We start from the raw sequence: 23,228 nt of genomic DNA, 5'->3' as shown, positions 1-23,228 counted from the left end.
AGGAAGAGGACAGGTGCCAAATGCAACCTCACCCTTCCATGCTGGCAGAAGGTGGGGTGTGCCAGCTCAGGGATGCTCGCCTTCCATGGACCCATGTGATGAGATCCATGTGGAATACTGGCCCATCACAGACGTGGGCCACCTGATGCTCTCTCCGCCACTGAACCCTGAAAGGACAGGACAGGCAGGTCACTGGGCTCAGGCTAGAAGCCAGGGCTGCTCCCTACTGCAGACCACACGAGCACCTCCACTACACATGCCAGCTCCCCTACATGACACCAGGGTCACCCCAGGACTACTGGGCACAGGCCAGGGCCAGCAACCAGTTCATGGTCAACCAAGGAGGCTGGCCCGTATGCCTGATGCTGCTGCACAGCTGGCAGTCACATAGCCAGTCCCTGTGCATGGTAGGCACCCACCCATATGCCATATCCAAGCACATACTGGAAACCACAACCTGGGGCCCCAGGGCCACATGCTTTCTCTGGTGAGTCTCCATCCATGCCCTTCACACCTCGCAAACACACAGCCTGGCCACACTCAGCTAATCGGGGGGCACAGTGTCTTCTCCTTTCTTCGGGTCCAAGACCCCACCACACTGGTGGTGACTCCATGGCTCAGAAGCAGCATGGGCAGCAAATTGCCAGGAGCAGACCCTCAATAGCGGGCCTTCCCACTTCAGGAGGCCACCCTTCCCAACACTCGCCCATGAGGAAGGGATAACTTCCAGCCACAGGGAAGGGGTGACTTTCAGTGGGATGCAGGCTGCCCCCTTGGCCCAAAGCCCACGAGTCCAAGGGCTGGACTGCAGCACCACCAGGTGGCGGCCAGAGGTCAGCTTTGACCTAAACCCAGTGAAACAGCACCGCCCCCCTTCAGGCTCGAAGAGGCCCATGGGATGGCCCATTGCTCAACAGGGTGGGTCCCATTCAGGGCCATGTGTCAGGTGCAAAACTTGCATCTCAACAGCTCAACTCCATGGGCCCAATCACCCACCTTTCTCCAGGGACAGAGAGTGCCTGTGTGACCCCATGGCACCCCAGAGCCACTGTGGCACCCCTCATATGGCCAGGGCAGTCCTTAAGTCCAGACGCAAGCACCGAGCCTCAGCTGGGAGCTGCCCTGGGTGGAACTGAAGGAACCCTTTCCTGCCTGGACCACCGTCACCCCTGCAGGGCTTCAGGGAAGGGGACCTCCTTGGTTCTTGTTTCCCAGGAAGTCGCCCTCCTGGAGAACCCATATCTTCCCAGTGGGGATTCAGGTTGGCTCCCTGAGGAAACCCTTCTTTCCCGAAGGCTGACCCTTGGCGACCTCACGCGGCCTGGCTCATGGCCCATGATGCCAGCCACTCACCTATGCCAGTCAATGACAGGGGTCTTCCATGTGGAAGAGCTCACTGAAAGACACAAGAGGAGAACGGGGCTCAGAAAGGAGCTTCCCATGTGCCTCAAACCCAGGGAACTGGAGGGCTGACACCAAGCCTGCACAGGGAGCCTGGGCTGCCTCAAGGAGGAGCGCAGAGACAGGGTTGGGCACCCACAAGATGCCCTTCAGGGCCTCCAGGTCTCCAGCCAAAAATACAGGGGCCCTCCTGGGGACCTCGGAATCCCAGCATCCTCTTCCAAACCTCTCACCTAGACTGGGCCTCAGCGTAATCCTATTATTGAGCATGATTTTTAAGTTATCACCTCTCTTCAGGACAATATAAGGTTCTCATTGACCCAACCCAGGGCACCCCCTTCCCCGCACACGCATCCAGCAGGATCCGGATGTGCTCACCACAGCTCAATGCAGGAGACCAGGGCACCAGGAAGGGCCCGATCTTCAGTGCACCAGGGGCTGGACACCTGGCTGATGGACGCTGACCTGGGGCCATTGGGCCCAGTGCAAGTCTTCCTCTGGGCTCAACATCTGGGGAAACAGGAGTAAGACAGGTGTGAAAACACAACCTCACCCCTCCATGGGGGCAGAAGGTGGGGTGTGTCAGCCCAGGGATGCTCACCCTCCATGGATCCATGTGATGGGATGCATGCAGAACACTGGCCCGTCACGGACACAGGGCAACAAAAGCTCTCTCAGCCACCGAACCCTGGAAGGACAGGGCAAGCGGGTCACTGGGCTTGGGCAAGAAGCCCCGACTGTGTCCTACTGCAGGTCCCATAAGCACCTCCACTGCCCATGCCGGCTCCCCCACACGACCCCAGGGTCATACCAGATATACTGGGCACAGGCCAGCGCCACCATTCAGTTCACGGCCCACCAAGGAGGCTGGCCTGGATGCCAGATGCCGCTGCAGACCTGCAAGTCACATAGCCTATCCCTGTGCACTGTGGACACCCACACAGGTGCCCTATCCCAGCATGTCCTAGAAATTGCAACCTGGGGTCCCTGGGCCACATGCTTTCTCTGGTGGGTCCCCATCCATGCCCCACACACCTCCTAAACACAGAGCAGGGCCGCACTTGGCTAATCGGGGGACACATGGTGACTTCTCCTTTCCTTGGGCCCAAGACCCGCTACCCTGGAGGTGACCCCATGGCTCAGAAGCAGCATGCGTGGCATATTCCAGGGACAAGACCCTCAACAGGACTTCCACCTCAGGAGGTCACCCTTCCTGACACTTGCCAATGGGGAAGGGGTGACTTCCAGCCACAGGGAAGGGGAGATCCCCAGTAGGACGTGGGCTGACCCCTTGGCGTAAAGCTAACGAGTCCATGACAGGACTACAGCACCACCAGGCACTGGCCAGAGCTCAGCCTTGACCCAAACCTAGGGAAACAGCACCACCCCCTTCAGGCTCAAAGAGGTGCCCTGGGATGGGACATTGCTCAACAGGGTGGGTCCCATTCAGGGCAATAATTCGTGTGCGATTCTTGAATCTCTGCAGCTCGAATCCATGGGTTCTATGCCCACCTTTCTCTGGGGATGGAGAGATCCTGTGTGACCCCACTGCATCCCGAAGCCCCTGTTGCCCCCCTCACGTGGCCTGGTCAGTCCTGGAGGCCAGACCAATGCACTGAGACTCAGCTGGGAGCTGACCTGCGTGAGACTGAAGGAACCCTTCCCTGCCTGGACCACCGTCATCCCCGCAGGGCTGCAGGGAAGGTATCCTCCTTGGGTCTGATTCCGAAAAAAAACAGCCCTCTTGGAGGACCAATCTATCCCTCCATGGTGTGGATTCAGGTCGGCTGCCTGTGGAAACCCTCCTGTCTCAAAGGCTGACCCTTGGTGACTCCAACCTGCTGATGACCCATGACCCCAGCAGGACCACTCACCTATGCCGGTCAATGCCTGGGGGCCCCACCTAGGAGGACGAGCTCACTGAAACACACGAGGGAGAATGGGGGCTCAGGGAACCAGAGCCCAAGCCTGCACAGGGAACCTGGGCTGCCTCCCAGAGGAGCCCAGAGCCAGGGTTGTGCCCCCCGGAGATGCCGTTCAGAGCCTCAGGGTCTCCTGCCTAAAATATACTGGCCATGCTGGGGAACTTGGGATCCCAGCATCCTCTTCCAAAATTCTCACCTAGGCTGGGCCTCAGCGTAATCCTATTGAGCATGATTTTTAAGTCATCACCTCTCTTCAGAACAATATAAGGTTCTCATCATTGACCCGACCCAGTGCATCCCCCTCCCTGCACACGTATCCAGAGGAACCCAGATGTGCTCACCACAGCTCAGTGCAGGAGACCAGGATGCCAGGAAGGGCCTGAGCTTCAGCTCACCAGGTGTTGAGCACATGGCTGAGAGACACTGGCCTGGGGCCAGCGGACCCAATGCACGTCTTCCTCTGGGGTCACCATCTGGAGGGGTGGGGGACACGTATAGAAATACGGCCTCACGCCTCCATGCAGGAAAGTGGGCAGGGGGTGCTGGCTCACACATGCTGTCCCTCCATGGACTCAAGAGATGGGATCCATGTAAACAGTAACGATCATGAATGTGGGGAACCCTTGGCCCTCCTTGCCACAGCTCCCTCACATGACTCTATGCCACAATGGGACCACTGGGCAGGGCCAGGACCACCAACAAGCTCAGAGCAAACCAAGTAGGCTGACCTGAATGCTACGTGCCACTACAGACCCCCTGTAAAAGCTCACACCAGAAATCAAATCCTGGAGCCCCAGGGCCACATGCCTTCTCTGATGGGTCCCCATTCGTGCACCGCACACCTCCAAATGCAGAGCCAGGCCATGCTCAGTCAATCAGGGAACACATGATGTCTTCCCCTTTCCTTCGGCTCAAGACCCCGCCACTTTGGAGGTGAACCCATGGCTTAGAAGCAGCCTGGGCAACAAATTGCCAGGACAGGACCCTTGACAGTGGGACTTCTACCACAGGATGCCATCCTTCTGGCCACTCCACTTTGGGGAGGGGTGACCTTTAGCGGGACACAGACTGCACCCTTGGCCCAAAGCCCAAATTCCCAGGGCCAGCCTGCAGCACCACCAGGTGAAGGCCAGAGCTCAGGCTTGACCCAACCCCACTAAGGTCACACCACCCCCACAAGGCTCAAGGATGCACCACCGGGATGGCCCATTGCTCTACAGGTTCGGCCCATGCTGGGCCATGGGTTGGGCCCAATCCTTGAATCTTCACGGCCTGACTCCATAAGTCCGATCACCCACACCCTGCCCCTCTGCAAGCCTCGGGGACAGAGAGCACCCTCATAACACCCGTGGCCCCTGGAGACCCTGTGGACCCCCTCATGTGGCCTGGGAAGTCCTCCAGGCCTGACTTGTGCACTGAGTCTCAGCTAGGATGTGCACTGCATTGAGTTGAAGGAAGCCCTTCCTGCTTGGACGTCCATCATCTCTGCACGGCTTCAGGGAAGGCATCCTTCTTGGGACCGACTTCCAAGGAAGCTGTCCTCCTGGAGAAACCATCCGTCCCTGGTGGGTTTCAGATGGGCTCCCTGAGGAATCCCTCGTGGCCTGAAGGGTGACTCTCAGTGACCCAAAGCGACCTGGCTCATGGTCCACGACCCCAGCAGGATCCACTTACCTATCCCACTTAAGGCCAGGGGTCCCCCTGGGCAGAAGAGCTCGCTGAAAGACACAGGGGAGAATGGGGGCTCAGGAAGGAGCCTCCAATGTGCCTCAACCCCAGGGAACTGGAGGGCTGACACCAAGCCCGCAAGGGAGCCTGGGCTGCCTCAAGGAGGAGCGCAGAGATGGGGTCGGGCACCCCTAAGATGCCCTTCAGGGCCTCCAGGTCTCCAGCCCAAAATACAGTGGCCCTGCCAGAGACCTTGGGATCTCAGCATCCTCTTCCAAAATTCTCACCAAGGCTGGGCCTCAGCGTAATCCTATTGAGCATGATTTTTAAGTCATCACCTCTCTTCAGGACAATATAAGGTTCTCATCATCGATCCAACCCAGGGCACCCTCCTCCCCATGCATGCATCCAGTGGGACCTGGATGGGCTCACCACAGCTTAGGGCAGGAGGCCAGGGCACCAGGAAGGGCTTGAGCTCAAGTGCACCAAGGGCTGGGCACCTGGATGACAACCACTGGCCTGGGGCCAGCGGTCCCAAAGCAAGTCTTCTTCCACAGTCACCATCTGGGGGGACAGGAGGAGGACATGTGTCCAACCATGGGCTCACGCCTCCATACAGGGAATGGGGTTGGGGGTGCCAGCTCACACATGCTCTCTCTCCGTGGACCCATGTGATGGGATCCATGGGAAACACTGATGTGTCATAGATCAGCGGAACCCTTTGCTCTCCCAGCCACTGAACCATGGAAGGACAGGGCAGGTGGGTTCCTGGGCTCAGGCAAGACACCTGGGCTGTGCCCTACTGCAGGCCCCTTGAGCACCTCCATTGCCCATGCTAGCTCCCCTGCATGACCCCGGGTGGTATCTGGATCCTTGGGTAGGGGCCACGGACACCAAAGAGCTCACAGCAAACCAAGGACCCTGGCCCGGACACCACGTGCTGTTGCCTACCTGGCAGTTGCACAGTCTGCCCTGTGCATGGAGGGCACCCACCCTCCTTTCCTCAAGGTGCACTGGAAATCGCAGCCTGGGGCTCCAGGGCCACAAGCTTTCTCTGGTGTGTCCCAATCCATGCCCCACACAACACCTCCCACACACACAGCAGGGCCACACTCAGCCAACCGGGAGACATATGGTATCTTCTCCTTTCTTTGGGCCTAAGACCCGCCCCTGCCCCCCAACCCGCTGGAGTTGTCCTAATGGCTGAGAAGCAGCCTGGACTGCAAATTTCCAGGAAAGGTCCTTCCACTGCGGGCCTTCCCAACTCAGGAGGCCATTACTGCCACTCGCCCACAATGAAGGGGTGACCCCCAGCGGGACATGGGCTGCAGCCTTGGCCCAGAGCCCACGAGTCCCAGGAGTGGATTGCACCACCATCAGGCACTGGCCAGAGCTAGTCTTGACCCAACCTCAGAGAAACAGCGCCGCCCCACAAATGGCTCAAAGAGGTGCCACTGGGAGGGCCCACTGCTTATAGGGTCAGTCCCATTGAGGGTCCTGGGTTTGCTGCAATCCATGAATCTCCATGGCCTGACCCCATGGACCGAATCACCCACCCTTCTCCAGGGTTGGAGAGCCCCCGTGAGATGCCCTTGGCTCCCCGGAGCCCTTGTTGCCCCCCTCATGTGGCCTGGCCATGTTAGAGGCCTGACCCAAGCACCAAGTCTGAGCTGAGCACTGCCCTGCGTGGGGCTGAGGAAACCCTTTCCTGCCTGGACAACTGCCACCCCTGCGGGGCTTCAGAGAAGGCCTCCTCCTTATGTCTGATTCCCAAGGAAGCTGCCCTCCTGGAGAACACATCCCCAGTTGGGATTCAGATCAGCTCCTGAGGAAACCCAGGTGGCCCGAGGGCTGACCCTTGGGGACCCCACGCAGCTTGGCTCATGGCCCATGACACCAGCAGTCTCCACTCACCTATGCTCGTCAATCCCAGGGGTCTGCTGGGGGGAAGAGCTCACTGAAAGACACAGAGGATAATGGGGCTCACGGAGGAGCCGCCAACGTGTCCCACCCCAGGGAAGCTGAGCGTGGACACCAAGCCCACACAGAAAGTCTGGTGTGCCTAATAGAGGAGCACAGACAGGATTGGGCCCCTCCATGAGGTGCCCTTCAGGGCCTCGAGGTATCCAGCCTAAAATACAGCAGCCCTGCTGGGGACCTCGGGATTCTAGTGTCCCCTTCCAAAATTCTCACCTAGGCTGGGCCTCAGCGTAATCCTATTGAGCATGATTTTTAAGTCATCACCTCTCTTCAGAACAATATAAAGTTCTCATCATCGACCCAACCCAGGGCACCCCCCTCCCTGCCTAGGCATCCAGTGGCACCCGGATGGGCTCACCCAAGCTCAACGCAGGAGACCAAGGTGACAGGAAGGGCCCGAGTTTCAGTGCAATAGGGGCTAGGCACTTGGCTGATGGCCACTGGCCAGGGACAGCGGGCCCAACGCATGTCCTCCTCTGGGGTCACCATCTCAAGGAACAGGAAGAGGACAAGTGCCCAAACACAACCTCACCCCTCCATGTGGACAGAAGGTGTGGTGTGCCAGCTCAGGGATGCTCACCTTCCATGGACCCATGTGATGAGATCCATGTGGAATACTTACCCATCATGGATGCAGGGCACCCAATGCTCTCTCCGCCACTGAACACCGAAAGGATAGGACAGGCAGGTCACTGGGCTCAGGCTAGAAGCCAGGGCTGTGCCCTACTGCAAGCCCCACAAGCACCTCCACTACACATGCCAGCTCCCCTGTATGACACCAGGGTCACCCCAGGACTACTGGGCACAGGCCAGGGCCAGCAACCAGTTCATTGTCAACCAAGGAGGCTGGCCCATATGCCTGATGCTGCTGCACAGCTGGCAGTCACATAGCCAGTCCCTGTGCATGGTGGGCACCCACCCATGTGCTGTATCTGGGCACATACTGGAAACCACGACCTGGGGTCCCAGGGCCACATGCTTTCTCTGGTGAGTTTCCATCCATGCCCCTCACACCTCATAAACACACAGCCTGGCCACACTCAGCTAATCGGGGGGCACAGTGTCTTCTCCCTTCCTTGGGCCCAAGATCCCACCACACTGGAGGTGTCTCCATGGCTCAGAAGCAGCATGGGCAGCAAATTGCCAGGACAGGACCCTCAATAGTGGGCCTTCTCACTTCAGGAGGTGACCCTTCCCCACATTCGCCCACTGGGAAGGGGTAACTTCCAGCCACAGGGAAGGGGTGACTTCCAGAGGGATGCAGGCTGCCCCACTGGCCCAAAGCCCACGAGTCCAACAGCTAGACTGCAGCACCACCAGGCACCGGCCAGAGCTCAGCCTTGACCTAAACCCAGTGAAACAGCACCGCCCCTCTTCAGGCTTGAAGAGGCCCATGGGATGGCCCATTGCTCAACAGGGTGGGTTCCATTCAGGACCATGTGTCAGGTGCAATCCTTGAATCTCCACTGCTCAACTCCATGGGCCTGATCACCCACCTTTCTCCAGGGACAAAGAGCACCTGTGTGACCCCCAAGGCACCCCAGAGCCCCTGTGGCCCCCCACATAGTCAGGGCAGTCCAGACGCGAGCACCGAGACTCAGCTGGGAGCTGCCCTGGGTGGAATTGAAGGAACCCTTTCCTGCCTGGACCACCGTCACCCCTGCAGGGCTTCAGGGAAGGCGTCCTCCTTGGTTCCTGTTTCCCAGGAAGCCGCCCTCCTGGAGAACCCATCTCTTCCCAGTGGGGATTCAGTTTGGCTCCCTGAGGAAACCCTTCTTTCCTGAAGGCTGACCCTTGGTGACCCCACGTGGCCTGGCCCATGGCCCATGACACCAGCAGGATCCACTCACCTATGCCAGTCAATGCCAGGGGGCCCTCCTTGGTGGAAGAGCTCACTGAAAGACACAAGGGGAGAACAGGGCTCAGGGAGGAGCCACCAATATGTCCCACCCCAGGGAACCAGAGTGCCAACAGCAAGCCTGCACAGGGAGCCTGGGCTGCCTCATAGAGACAGGGTCTGGCCCTTCAGGTGCCCTTAGAGTCACCAGATCTCCATCCCAAAATACAGTAGCTCAGCCAGGGACCTCAGCATCCAGTATCCTCTTCCAACATTCTCACCTAGGCTAGGCCTCAGCGTAATCCTACTAAGCATGATTTTTAAGTCATCACCTCTCTTCAGGACAATATAAGGTTCTCATCATTGACCCAACCCAGGGCACCCCCCTCCCCACACATGCATCCAGTAGGACCTAGATGGGCTCACCAAGGCTCAGTGGAAGAGACCAGTGTTGAGGGAAGTCAGGGACCCCAAACGGAGGGACCTGCTGAAGCCATGGCAGAAGAACACAAATTGTGAAGATTTCATGGACATTTATCACTTCCCAAATCAATACTCTTATTATTTCCTATGCCTGTCTTTACTTTAATCTCTTAATCCCGTCATCTTCGTAAGCTGAGGATGTATTTCGCCTCAGGACCCTGTGATGATTGCGTTCACTGCACAAATTGTTCGTAAAACATGTGTGTTTAAACAATATGAAATCTGGGCACCTTGAAAAAAGAACAGGATAACAGCGATGTTCAGGGAACAAGGGAGACAACCATCAGGCCTGACTGCCTGAGAGCCGGGCGGAACAGAGCCATATTTCTCTTCTTACAAAAGCGAATAGGAGAAATATTGCTGAATTATTTTTCTCAGCAAGGAACAACCCTGAGAAAGAGAATGCCTTCCTAGGGGGAGGTCTCTAAAATGGCCGCTCTGGGAATGTCTGTCTTATACAGTTGTAGATAAGGGATGAAATAAGCCCTGGTCTCCCGAAGCGCTCCTAGGCCTATTAGGACGAGGAAATTCCTGCCTAATAAATTTTGGTCAGACCGGTTGTCTGCTCTCAAACCCTGTCTCCTGATAAGATGTTATCAATGACAATGCGTGCCCGAAACTTCATTAGCAATTTCAATTTGGCCCTGGTGCTCTGCCCTCATTTGCCTTCTGATATTTTATTGCCTTGTGAAGCATGTGATTTCTGTGACCCACACCCTATTTGTACACTCCCTCCCCTTTGAAAATCACTAATAAAAACTTGCTGGTTTTGCAGCTTGGGTGGCATCATGGAACCTGCCGACATGTGATGTCTCCCCCGGACACCCAGCTTTAAAATTTCTTTCTTTTGTACTCTTTCCCTTTATTTCTCAGACCGGCCGACACTTAGGGAAAATAGAAAAGGACCTACGTTGAATTATTGGGGGCGGGTTCCCCCGATAGAACAGGGCACCAGGAAGGGCCCAAACTTCAGCACGCCAGGGGCTGGGCACCTGGCTGACAGACACTGGCCCCAGGCCATTGGGCCCAACACAAGTCCTCCTTCAGGGTCACCATCTGGAGAGACAGGGAAAAGTGTCCGAACAGAACCTCATGCCTCCATGCGGGAAAGGAGGCAGGGGGTGCTGACTCACACATGCTCTCCCTCCATGGACCCACCTGATGGGATCCATGTGAAACAGTGATAGTCATGGACGTGGGGGACCCTTGGTCCTCCCTGCCACTGAACCCTGGAAAACAGGGCAGGCTGGTCACTGGGCTCAAGCAAGATGCCCAGGCTGTGCCCTACTGCAAGCCCCTGGAGCACCTCCACTCCCCATGCCAGCTCCCCTGCAATTCCTGGGCTGCACCATGACCCCTGGGTGGGGCCAAGGCCACTATCCAGCTCAAGCCAACCAAGGAGGCTGGTCCTGAAGGCAGGCACCGCTGCAGCCCCAGCAGATGCACAGCCTGCCCCTGCACAGGGAGGGGGCCTACCCAGGCTCCCTCTCCAAGCATGCACTGGAAATAGCAGCCTGAGACCCTGCCTCATGTGGCCTGGGCAGTCCTCGAGGCCAGACCCTAGCACCAAGTCTCAGCTGGGAGCTGCCCTGCATGGGACTAATGGAACCCTTTCCTGCCTGGACCACTGTCACTCCTGCAGGGCTTCAGGGAAGGTGTCCTCCTTGGGTCAGATTCCCAAGGAGGTGGTTCTCCTGGAGAACCAATCCCTCACCAGTGGGGATTCAGGTTGTCTCCCTGAGGAATCCCTCCTGTCCTGAAGGCTGACCCTCAGTGACCCCATGTGGCCTGGTCCATGAGCCCAGCAGGATCCGCTCACCTATGCTGCTCAAGGCCAGGGGGCCCTCATGGGCGGAAGAGCTCACTGAAAGACACAAAGGGAGAACGTGACTTCAGGGATGAGCCACCCACGTGCCCTGCTCCAGGGAACCAGAGCACTGACACGAAGCCCACACAGGGAAACTGGGCTGCCTCACAGACAAGTGCAGAGACAGGGATGGGGCCCCTGCAGATACCCTTCAGGGCCTCCAGGTCTCCAGCCCAAAATCCCTCCTGCCGGGGATCCCAGCATCCTCTTCCAAAATTCTCACCTAGGCTGGGCCTCAGCATAATCCTATTGAGCATGATTTTTAAGTCATCACCTCTCTTCAAGAAAACAGAAGCTTCTCATCATCGACCCAACCCGGGGAAAGCCCCTCCCCATGCAAACATCCAGCAGGACCTGGATGTGCTCACCACAGCTCAGTGCAGGAGACCAGAGTGCCAGGGAGGGCTGAGCTTCAGCGCACTGGGGTCTGGGCACCTGGCTGATGGACACTGGCCCAGGGACAGTGGGACCAGGGCAAGTCTTCCTCCAGGCTCACTGTCTGGGGGGACAAGAAGACATGTGTCCAAACATGGCCTCACGCCTCCATAGTGGGAAGGTGGTGGGTGGTGCCAGCTCATGCATGCTCTCCCTCCATGGACCCATGTGATGGGAACACTGACCCATCACAGACGCAGGAGACGCTTGGTACTCCCCATCACTGCAAAGCGGGGGTGGGTCACTGAGCTAGGACTAGGACAGGGCAGGTGGGTCACTGAGCTCGTGCAAGGCACCTAGGCTGCGCTCTATTGCAGGCCCCACAAGCACCTCCACTACCCACACCAGCTCCCCTGCAGGACCCCTGGGCCACTCCAAGACCACTGGGCACAGGACAGGGCAACCAACCTGCTCATGGCCAACCAAGGAGGCTGACCTGGAAGCCACATGCCACTGCAGACCTGGCAGTTGCATAGCCTGTGCCTGGGAGTGGAGGGCACTCACCCAGAGTTCTCTCCAAGTGTGCATGGGAAATCATAACCTGGGGCCCTGGGCCATGTGTGTTCTCTGGTGGGTCCCCATTCATACCCTACACACCTCCCAAACACAGAGCCAAGCCACACTCAGCCAACTGGGGAACACAGGGTATCTTCTCCTTTCCTCGGGCCCAAGACCCCACCACCCTGGAGGTGAGTCCGTGGATCAGAAGAAGCCTGGGAGGCAAATTCCCTGGACAGGACCCTCGACAGTGGGCCTTCCCAGCTAAGGATGCCACCCTTCCTGCTAGTTGCCCACAGGGAAGGGGTGACCTCCAGTGGGACACGGGCTGGCCCCTTTGCCCAAAGCCAGCGAGTCCCAGGGCCAGCCTGCAGCACTACCAGGCACCGGCCAGAGCTCAGCCTTGACCCAACCCCCTTGAAGCCACATCACCCCCGACTAGGCTCCGAGGCACCACTGGGATGGTCCATTGCTCAAAGGCTCAGTCCCATTCAGGTTCATGGGTGGGGCCCAATCCTTGATCTCCAAAGGCCTGACCCCATAGGCCCAATCGCTCACCCCTCTCTGGGGAAGGAGAGCTCCTGTGTGACCCCTGTGGTGCCCCGGAGCTCCTATGGACCCCCTTATGTGACCTGGGCAGTCCTCATGGCCAGACCTGCACACTGAGTCTCAGCTGGGCGCTGTCCTGGGTGGGGTTGAAGGAACCCTTTGCTGCCTGGACCACCCTCACCACTGCAGGGCTTTAGAGAAGATATCCTCCTTGGGTCAGACTCCCAAGGAAGCTGCCCTCCTGGAGAACCTAGCCCTCCCCAGTGGGGATTCAGGTTGGCTCCCTAAGGAAACCCTCCTGTCCCAAAGGCTGACCCTTGGCGACCCCAGCAGCCTGGCTCATGGCCCATGACCCCAGCAGGATCCACTCACCTATGCCGGTCAATGCCAGGGGGCCTGCCTGGGCAGAAGAGCTCACTGAAAGACACAGGGGAGAATGGGGGTCAGGGAGGAGCCACCCACATGCCCTGCCCCTAGGGAACCAGAGCCCCAGCCTATGCCCACACAGGGATCCTTGACTGCCTCACGGGGTTGCTCAGAGATAGGCTTGGGCCACCTTCAGATGCCCTTCAGGGCCTCTAGGTCTGCAGCCCGAAATACAGTGGCCCCGTCGGGGGCCTCTGGATCCCAGCATCCTCTTCCAAAATTCTCACCTAGGCTGGGCCTCAGCGTAATCCTATTGAGCATGATTTTTAAGTCATCACCTCTCTTCAGGATAATATAAGGTTCTCATCATCAACACAACCCAGGGCACCCCCCTCCCCGCCCATGTATCCAGCAGGACCCGGATGGGCTCACCACAGCTCAGTGCAGGAGGCCAGGGCATCAGGAATGGCCTGAGCTTCAGCGCACCGGGGGCTGGCACCTGGCAGACGGACACTGGCCGAGGGCCATTGGGCCCAACACAAGTCTTCCTCCATGGTCACCATCTGGGGGAACAGGAGTAGGACAGGTGTCCAAACAGAACCTCATGAAGGTGGTAGAGCCCGCCGGCTCAGCTAGGCTCTCCCTCCATGGACCCATTTGCTGGAAACGCTGACCCGTCACGGACGCAGGGCACCCTTGGCCCTCCCTGCCACCCAACCCTGGAAGGACAGGACAGGCGGGTCACTGGGCTCACACAAGATGCAGAGGCTGTGCCCTACTGCAGGCCCCAGGGAGCACCTCCGCTGCCCACGCTGGCTCCCCACACACAACCCCCTGGGCCACTCCGGGACCACTCGGCACAAGCTAGGGCCACCAACCAGGTCATGACCAGACAAAGAGACTGGCCCAGAAACCACTTACAGCTGCAGACCGGGCAGTCACATAGCCTGCCCCTGGGCATGGTGGGAGCCCTCCCAGGCGTCTTCTCCAAGCAGCATGGGAAATTGCAGCCTTGGCCTGGGCGCCACGTGATTTCTGCGGCGGATCCCCAACCACACCCCACACTTCCGTTGAACTGGTCTAATTTGGGCGTCAGCTCTTATTTTTCGAGCGTGTTTGTGAATATTTTAATGTCTTGCATCATTTTACTTTTGAATTGTTTGAAACTACATTTTTTATGTATATGCATTCATATTTTGTAACTTATTTTTGGTACGTGTCTTCGTTTGTATACAACTACTCTTGTATGTTTTCTAATGTAAGATGTATTTTCTTTTTTGTCAGTTTTTCTATTTGTATTACCATTGTCAAAATGAACCTTGAATTATCCCAGTGTTTTTGACCGTTTTATGCTTTTTCCTCATCTTACCGATTCTATGTATTTTTTAAAACATAATTTTTAGGGAGGCCGAGTTCCAGAACACGGGGTCTCAGTTGTCCCAGCCTTTTGAGTCCCTCAAGATCGCTGTGCCTCCCGATACCGCCGCCGTGCCTGCCAAGCCTGCAACCCCAGCTACACCCGGATCGCCGACCTCACCAGCAGAACACCACCTGTTGGAGACCTGCTGGAGCTGTCACGTGCTTTCTGGGTTGCGGCTGATGGGGGCAGGCGGGTATGTGTACTGGGTGGCACAGAAGCCCATGAAGATGGGATACCCCCCGGGTCCATGGACCATTATGAAGATGGTCATGGGCCTTAGCATTGCCGCCTGGGGTATCATTGTCATGGCAGACCCCAAAAGGAAGGCCTACCACATTGTTTGAAAGTACCACCAGTGAATCTGTCTTCTGTCCCTGCCCTCATAACACACAGAGCAGGCATGGAATTTAATGGATGTCCTGGACAGACACTTGTACATGGACAGACATCACTACTGTGGATACTACAAGACTGAAAAGAAAATCATATGTTGTCATTCTCTGGCTATGGAGTGTTAGCGGCCTCCACAGATTTCACAGGAACCAATAAATCCCTCAGAGAAGTAAACAGGTTCTTTGTCTTATCTGGGGAAGGAAAGTATAACTTATATTTAAATATAATTGTTTAATTACTTAAGCATTATATAAAAACATTATATAATAATGTCTTATGTAATTGCATATCATATTATATATAATAAACATAAATATGTTTAGTTATATAGTTTATATAATTTTTAAAACTACAACAGGAAAATTAGCTATTTTACTTCGTTATTTTAAAGAGTTCTTTTTATTTCTTTCATTATTGGATCAACAACTGTTATCAACCTAACCCTGGGTGGGCATCATGCAATATACGGAAGTACATGAAACTTTCTATGTATTAACTGCTCATTCTTTGCAAGGCATTTTCAAATCCATCACTTTATGAGAGCTTCACAGCTAGTCTGAGGCAGTTACTTCATTGGAGGTAAAACTTAAAACACAAGAAAGAGCCCACATGATTTGCCTAGGGTCACTCAGTAAGTCGGTGATGGAGCTAGAACTTGTTCTTGTCAGGTTTTTGTTCTAGTCTTCCCTTTCATGGAGGCAAGAATAACCATTATGAAACAGTTAGATAATCATAAAAATCAGCATACATTAAAAGACTTAAATGTCACAAGAAAAACTCAAAATCTTTAGCTAAAAAAAAAGATCTTTTGATTCTTTTTCCATAAGCACTAGATATGTTTCTGCAATGATTTTGAGATAAGTACTCAAAATTACGTAGCTCATTTCTAAGAGAAGGCCATGTTTTCTACCTGTTGAGTTTTTCTACCCTGAGATACTATGGCTTCTTTGTAAAGGTATATAAAGTGTTTTTCAAAGTGGAAAGATACTGTTAAATTCAGCTGCTAATCATAGTGTATGTGTTTGGAATGACATGTTGAGCAAGTAATACCTTTAAGCTGTTGCTTTTTGCAGCATTATGTGGAAGTGCCTAAGTCTGACATTTAGCCTCACAGATGACTTTAGAATCTGGTATTTTCTACATGAGAGTTCATAGTGGGGATGGTGCTATACATATCTATGCAACTGAGAAGGAAAACATTTCAAACCTAAAGTAGGCAACAAGATATTATTTATATGAAATCCACAATTCAGTTATGCAATGTTCATGAATAGAGAAGTTTTAAGTTGGAAGGGACCATAGATGACCCAAAGCAGATCACATATGGTCATTCATATACCTAAAATACCTACAAAGACAAGTTGTTCCCTGGTTTAAAAGGCAGTCTGTTCTATTGATGGACTGCTTTAGTCTGAACATTTTCTTAGGTTAAGCCAAAAACACATAAACCTAACTTGGTCTTGGCTTGATCTACTGGGTAAACAATAACTCTTAAACATATATACAGTTGACACTTGAACACCACAGGAGTTAAGAGTGCTGAACATTTGCTCAGTGGAGAATCTGCATATAACTTGACTCCCCAAAAACTTAATTAGTAGTTAGTCTCCCATTGACTGGAAGCCTTACTGATAACATAAAGCAGTTGATTAACACGTATTTTTTGTGTTGCATATATTATATACTGTATTCTTACAAGAAGCTAGAGAAAAAAAAACGTTATTAAGGAAGTAATACATTCACTATTCATTAGGAAGAAGTGAATCATCCTAAAGGTCTTCATCCTCATCTTCATGCTGAGTAGTCTGAGGAGCAGGAGGAGTTTGTCTTTCTGTCTCAGTGGCAGAGGTAGAAGAAAATCCACAGATAAGTGGACCTGCACAGCTCAAACCTGTGTTGTTTGGGTCAACTGTATCATAATAGCATTTTAATGCTTTTCTCAGACTTTTACAAGTATGAATCCGAGCTTTTTCTGAATAAACCTGCCTGCACACCATTAAAAAAACTTTTTAGAAGACTTTTTAATGGGTGTGCAATACAAGCATGATTTGTCATACTGGGACCTTGAGGTTTTTGTATACCCTTGCCTTGTTTGGCATATACTAGACCATGCCACTTTTTTACATATTCTCTCTATATTTATGGTTGCCTTTCCGCAGGATTTTGCATGGGCTATTTGTGAGATATTCTAAAATTATATACCTTAATGGAAAGTAATCCCAGTATCTAGAATGCAGTTATGAGCCCACTCTGTATTGTCGTCTCCCCGCATCTTCGATGTGTTGTTTTCACTCTCATTAGACTGACAATGAGGAGTTCATATGTTTTCACACACATGAAATTCATGTGTTCATCAACATAATCAATTCTGGGTTTAGCTGGAATAGGAATTTCCTCAGTCTCATATTCCAATTTTGTTGGTAGGATCCTTAACTTTTTCTTTTGCTTTCCTGTTTTTTTGAGACAGAGTCTCGCTCTGTTGCCAGGCCAGAGTGCAGTGGTACGATCTCGGCTCACTGCAACCTCTGCCTCCCTGGTTCACGCGATTCTCCTGCCTCAGCCTCCCGAGTAGCGGGGATTACAGGTGTGTGCCACCATGTCCAGCTATTTTTTTTTTTTTTTTGTATTTTTATTAGAGACGGGGTTTCACCATGTTGGCCAGGATGGTCTCAATCTCTTGACCTCGTGATCCACCCGTCTCGGCCTCCCAAAGTGCTGGGATTACAGGCGTTGGATCCTTAACTTTCAAAATTCTTGCAGAAACCCTAAATCTATTACACTCAGAGTCCCATTTATATTACAGAGATGTTAGTCTTGTCTTGTAGAGAGACCTTACTTTTTGTATTGACTTGTTAATTATATCAACATCAGGTAATAATATTTTGTGATAGGATAGCATCAAGTGGAGCTGTCAATCCGTAAGAACATCCCATGTCAATATCCAGGTTGACCAAATCAGTATACCTGACCTCCTTGGTGGTGAATATTTCCTAGTTCAGTGGGTTATTTGAAACTGTCATACCACTGATGCATATTTGAACAGATTCTTTATTACCTACACATAAGAATTCTCCTGCATCATATAATGGGCTTAGAAATTGAGAATAATTTTAGTAGTCTGTTTTGCTACATGCTTTGTATTTTGAGGCTCAGTTTTCACTCTTGTTTTGTTCCCCCCGCCAATTTACACCAAGTACATAATCAATAGATGGGGCTTGGTGGCCTAAAGCTGTAATGTAAATTTTTATTGAATAGCTCAGTATATTTCTTTTGAAGATTCATGAATTATATAACACATTATAAACTATGTAAATAAGAAAATGTACATACTTTAGTGAAATTAGTTTTATTATTTCAGTTTTCAGAAATTTCAATCTGCAATGCCAGATTTCAGCTCTTTTACCTATAATATGATCAACCTTTTTACACTATCATTTAATCTCTACATAGACAGTAGTATGTCCAATACCTAATTGTTTGTCTGAGTAGGTATAATCTTGTACTTCAGTACCAGCAAGTATACATTGTAGTTGTTGAATAACCAGTGGTTGTGCACTAATGCAAGTGAAGGCTTCTGAAAATTCTTTACTATATATTTTTTTGCAATAGAATTTTATTACCAGATGTCCAATTCCAAATGCTTTCCCAATTCCATTTTTGTTTTTCTTTGTCATATCTTGTTTAGATTTTGATTCTATCATGTTTGCATCTTTCTGCAAATTGTCCAATGCACTGTTTATCAGTAATTGTTTCTATATCAGAAGAGTTTACAATTGTAGTCCTAGTTTTATTCCCCCTAATACTGTATTTAATAATCTCTGGCCAGGTATGGTGGCTTATGTCTGCGAACCCAGTGCTTCGGAAGGCCGAGGCAGCAGGATCACTTGAGGCCAGAAGTTCGAAACCAGCCTGAGCAAGACCCTGACTCTACAAAAAAAAATAGGCAGGCATGGTGGCATGTCCCTGTAGTCCCAGCTACTCAGGAAGCTGAGACGGAGGAAGCCCTTGAGCCCAGGAGTTACAGGCGATAGACAGCTATGATTGTGCTACTGCACTCCAGTGTAGGCAACAAAGCCAGACCCCATCTATTAAAAAAAGAAATCTCTTTCAGTTTGATCATAGTGCCATTTTAGTCCCTGTGTAAAAACATTTCATAGTGGTAAAGCCTATCATGTACAAGTAGAATTCAGTTTACTCACATTAGCTATTGTAATATTAAATGATACAGACCATTTAATTATCCTCGAGTTTGTAAGTATGGGGACTGGAGACTGCCAGGTTCTAAACAGGGTAAGCTCATTTTTAGGTGATGATACGTTTTGGGGGTTTTGAAGAAACTAACCCTCACCATTTGGGCTGGGATATTTTCTCATCTGTGTGTCTATTTAAGCTTTATTAAATTGGACCCCCATGGCTATTTAAGATCTAGAGTTGGGCCGGGCGTGGTGGCTTACACCTGTAATCCCAGCACTTTGGGAGTCAAAGGCGGGTGGATCACCTGAGGTTGGAAGTTTGAGACCATCCTGACCAACATGGAGAAACCCCATCTCTACAAAAAATACAAAATTAGCCAGGCATGGTGGTGCATGTCTATAATCCCAGCTACTCAGGAGGCTGAGGCAGGAGAATCGCTTGAACCTGGGAGGCAGAGGTTGTGGTGAGCCAAGATCGTGCCATTGCACTCTAGCCTGGGCAATAAGGTGAAACTCTGCTCAAAAAAAAAAAAGATACAGAGTTGTTGGAGTTTTGTGATACCCTTCAGGGACTTTCAATTTGAATATAATTACGTTCAACTTAATTAGTTAAAAATTTCTTCTCATCAGTATCTTCAATAACACAAAGGGTGATGATATTTAAGATTTTTGTAATATTGACTAATCAGTGGGAAGATTTGAAATTTTTCATGTCTTCTGAATTTAAATCATCCAGTTGGTGAGTTTGAAGTATTATGACAAAGAAAGGGGTTTCTTAAGTCCTGATCTCATATTCAGGACAATTTTTAATTACCACAAAATTCCTTGAGGTTGAGATACTAACTTTTAAAAGAAAGACTAATAATAAGCTTTATGTTCAATTGATACAAACTAAGTATCAAAATTAATACAAACTAAGTATCAAAATTATAATGGTCAAAATAATTAAGAAGAACGTATTAATAACAAAACAGTCTATCTCTCCTGCTGTCTATCAAATAAGTTTTTCTCTTTAGCTTGCATATTATTCAAGGTTACTATCTAGAGAATTTATCCTTAAGGTCCTAAATGGGAATTATACCCCACTCGATGGTGGATGTTGGTCTCACATGTGAAGCGTGTATCCACTTGGGTTTCTCCTTCATCTTGATAGCACTATGAATTCTCAACCACACTTGATAGGGTTCTGTCCAGTGTGGTCACAGTCTGTCATCAGAACACTTTGATATAGACTGAATCTCCTGTTCAATATCAATGACACACTTCCCCAGGCGGCTTTTTCAGCATCTGGCCACATGTTGGCAAGGTGAGCCTAGGGAAACCCACAAACTCTTTAAGTATCATATATGGTCATGAGGATTTTCCATTGTATCAGAGAAAGGGTTAGGCTTAAGCCCAAGATTAGTAGACCTTCCAAACTCAAAGGGAGTAATGTTGGGCTTGCTAGAGGGATTTAATCTTATTTTAAATGAAACGGATGGTAAGGTTTTACATAACTTAGCTAAATAATTCAGCTAAATAATTCTTTAGGGTATGTGGTTCACTCATTCCACTTGTTCAGAAGACTGGGGATAACAGGTAGGTAAATTATTGGTATTTGTAGAGTATTACAAAATTCCCGAATTCCCACAAATACAGAATGATTCCCCTACTGAATTCCAGATATTCAGGAATTCCAGTGGTTGAGATGATATGATTCAGTAAGAGCTTGATCACTGTTTGAGCATCTGCTTTAGCCTATCCAGACACCAATACACAACACTGGTAAAAATATTTACTATCTTCTAAAGGTGGAAGTTCTATAAAGTTCTTGTGCCAGCAGATCCTAGGTATCATGGGCCTTAGTAGGCTTTCTTGACTTATTTTAGGTAAGGAAAGAATTTTTCTGACAAAGAGCATATCTTCATATTATTTCCTGAATTATATGATGCTATTACAAAGATTTCAAGTTGTCAGCATATTCCTTTTGCTTGAACGAACTTGTTGGTGGCATGAAAAAGCCACTCAATCATATAACAATCGGAATAAAGGAAAGATTTCATTATGTAATTCTCATTTTCCTATGGTGTTCATCTTAGTTCTCCTTCATTCCTAATTTTCTAATTCTTAAGAGAGTTGGCTATTTCTGAAATTATGAATAGGAGGTTTTGGACAGAAGTGATAGAGGTTTGATTTCCCCAGTCTAAACGTCAGAAGCCCTTCACAGCTAGGTCTGCAAATTAATTTCTTTTTAAAGAGTTAATCTTGTTTTCCACTGTGAGCTCTACAATAAATTACATAAATCTGTTAGAGAAGTTTGAATGACTCTACTAAATCAGAAATTAGCTTCTCATGTAATATTTTAGTTCCTATTGACGTTAGCATCTATTCTTCCAAAGTTGGCTAGTCACATAACAGACCACAAACATATAGTTATTACCAGTATAGATATCTGCTTTATAACTGGTGGCTAATTTAACAGCTGGTATAATAACTACAATTCTGCCACTTGGGCTGATTTTATGTTTCGAAAAACAGAAGCCTCTAAGCTTCATGAGGGTTGATTACCGTAGAACATGCTTTTATATTCCTTTGTGGGTCTTTCACACAGAATATATTCATGAATATTCAGTCAACATTGGGAATAGGAATATTACAAAAATTAGACCATGCTCCAGTGTCTTCCTCAATCACTCTGAGACAGTCAAGTTCAACTTATTCTGTCAAGATCTGGCCACAGAATAGCTGTCAAAAGGTTACACCTTCCTAGAATAGCATTAGGATCACACAATAAGACTTGTTCTTAGCTCGTTTGACAGCATACTGACAAGTGTTGTGTCTTATGAACTTGTAAAATAGCAGTAACAACATGAAGTACCTGTAAGTAAGTTAAATTTCTCAGAGTCAAGGACTGAATGAGCCTTTTTAATCAGGGGAGTGGTTGCCACTGTACCTTATAAATATCATCGCATTTCCAGAGAGACAAAATACAAGAACCTGGGAAAGTAAGCAATGTGCCTATAATCAAGGCCTAATTTTGGAGTAACCCTTAATCTCAAGACAGAAAAGGTAGAACTCCTTTTTTAACAAGGTTAAAAAAGTAATACAAGTGAAGAAATAGCAGCTATTTTAAGGGCATAAAAGACTTCTTCAGCCTTATTTTGACTTTAATAAAGAGTTCTAGTGATGTTTCATGTAACATCTCAGTGAGAGGCTTAGCCTTTTCATAAAACGCAAAGATCTACAATTAATCCTCAAAATCGGTGAAGTTTTTTTTTGGCATGTTGTTTCATTTGTATATTAGGCTGACTTCAAGATGCAACCACCTTCCATCTGCCAATAACACAGATCCCAAATATTTTACTTCAGTTGGTAATATTGCAACTTAGCTAGCGAGGTTTTACGTCCTGGGAGTCTAAGAAATTTAGTAAAGCTAAAATGTCTTCTTTACTAGCATGTAAGTTATTAGCAGCTATCAATAACAATTAGTATGGAATCCTAATGTGAGGAATATTCTTTATATTTTCTTATAAATGCCCAGAGAATGGAGTAGGTGACTCTCTGAATTCCAGGAAGATCCGTTGCCACAAATATTGAAAGCCTCCCGCTCCACAGGTAAACTCAAACAGGAACCTCGACTCCCCAGCTAAACATGGAGAACAAAACATTGAACATAAATCCATGACAGAAAAATACTTAGATAACTCAGGAACAGATATTAAAACAGTGGCAAGGCTGGGAATTACAAGTGTCAGAGGAATCACAACTTGTTTCTCTAAGATCATGCATAAATCTATAAACAGTTTGACCTTCCCTGTCAAGTTTTCCTAACTTTCCCACAGGCAATATGGAAGCATTATGAAGTGAATGTGCCATTTTTTTTTAACTATGCCACGTTTTTTAAAATTTTTCTAATTACATCATATTTGAGGTAAAAATAGAGAAAATGTTCTATACATGGCCAAGGTTTTTCTCTGTTGTAAGTTACAACAATGGTATTGATCTCTTTTGTTAAATCTTTATCATTTGTTCCTAGGACTCATAGATATGGGTTTATTTTCTGTAACTTGGGAGTGCTTCTCCAGCATTGAGTGAGACTCCTACTCTCCCACAGCCATCTTTTGTTTCAGAAAGCACATATTTAGCAATGTAGATACCTTGCATCCCAGAAGCTCCAAAAGCACTCTCTTCAGAGTACAGAAGATCATAGCCCTTGGTTTACACAGCAGGCCCT

The 23,228-nt window shown here is 50.0% G+C and overlaps 1 long non-coding RNA gene, 7 other non-coding genes and 1 pseudogene across 8 annotated transcripts in view; 1 reads left to right on the top strand and 8 right to left on the bottom strand.

Annotated features, from left to right (window-relative positions):
- Positions 1 to 23,228, bottom strand: part of SNHG14 (small nucleolar RNA host gene 14) — a 595,855-nt gene that overhangs the window by 235,355 nt on the left and 337,272 nt on the right. Inside the window, exons 62-77 of the long non-coding RNA NR_146177.1 lie at positions 13,442 to 13,572; positions 13,016 to 13,060; positions 11,530 to 11,660; positions 11,114 to 11,158; positions 10,205 to 10,350; positions 9,238 to 9,295; positions 8,825 to 8,869; positions 6,909 to 6,951; positions 5,427 to 5,558; positions 5,001 to 5,044; positions 3,668 to 3,799; positions 2,213 to 2,298; positions 2,003 to 2,089; positions 1,780 to 1,911; positions 1,354 to 1,396; positions 33 to 167 (exon numbers count right to left, since the gene is read on the bottom strand). This is a non-coding gene — a long non-coding RNA (small nucleolar RNA host gene 14). The remainder of the gene's footprint in view (positions 1 to 32; positions 168 to 1,353; positions 1,397 to 1,779; positions 1,912 to 2,002; positions 2,090 to 2,212; positions 2,299 to 3,667; positions 3,800 to 5,000; positions 5,045 to 5,426; positions 5,559 to 6,908; positions 6,952 to 8,824; positions 8,870 to 9,237; positions 9,296 to 10,204; positions 10,351 to 11,113; positions 11,159 to 11,529; positions 11,661 to 13,015; positions 13,061 to 13,441; positions 13,573 to 23,228) is intronic.
- On the bottom strand, positions 1,642 to 1,723 carry SNORD115-7 (small nucleolar RNA, C/D box 115-7). The gene has a single exon (NR_003299.1). It is a non-coding gene; the product is annotated as a small nucleolar RNA, C/D box 115-7 (small nucleolar RNA).
- Positions 3,530 to 3,611, bottom strand: SNORD115-6 (small nucleolar RNA, C/D box 115-6). Its single transcript, NR_003298.1, has one exon. It is a non-coding gene; the product is annotated as a small nucleolar RNA, C/D box 115-6 (small nucleolar RNA).
- SNORD115-5 (small nucleolar RNA, C/D box 115-5) lies at positions 5,289 to 5,370 on the bottom strand. Its single transcript, NR_003297.1, has one exon. It is a non-coding gene; the product is annotated as a small nucleolar RNA, C/D box 115-5 (small nucleolar RNA).
- Positions 7,195 to 7,276, bottom strand: SNORD115-4 (small nucleolar RNA, C/D box 115-4). The gene has a single exon (NR_003296.1). It is a non-coding gene; the product is annotated as a small nucleolar RNA, C/D box 115-4 (small nucleolar RNA).
- Positions 9,100 to 9,181, bottom strand: SNORD115-3 (small nucleolar RNA, C/D box 115-3). The gene has a single exon (NR_003295.1). It is a non-coding gene; the product is annotated as a small nucleolar RNA, C/D box 115-3 (small nucleolar RNA).
- On the bottom strand, positions 11,392 to 11,473 carry SNORD115-2 (small nucleolar RNA, C/D box 115-2). Its single transcript, NR_003294.1, has one exon. It is a non-coding gene; the product is annotated as a small nucleolar RNA, C/D box 115-2 (small nucleolar RNA).
- SNORD115-1 (small nucleolar RNA, C/D box 115-1) lies at positions 13,304 to 13,385 on the bottom strand. The gene has a single exon (NR_001291.2). It is a non-coding gene; the product is annotated as a small nucleolar RNA, C/D box 115-1 (small nucleolar RNA).
- DMAC1P1 (DMAC1 pseudogene 1) lies at positions 14,314 to 16,925 on the top strand (annotated as a pseudogene).

Source organism: Homo sapiens, chromosome 15 (genome assembly GCF_000001405.40).
Source record: "Homo sapiens chromosome 15, GRCh38.p14 Primary Assembly".
In the NCBI taxonomy this organism is placed as follows: Eukaryota; Metazoa; Chordata; class Mammalia; order Primates; family Hominidae; genus Homo; species Homo sapiens.
This window is presented reverse-complemented; position numbering and strand designations above follow the sequence as displayed.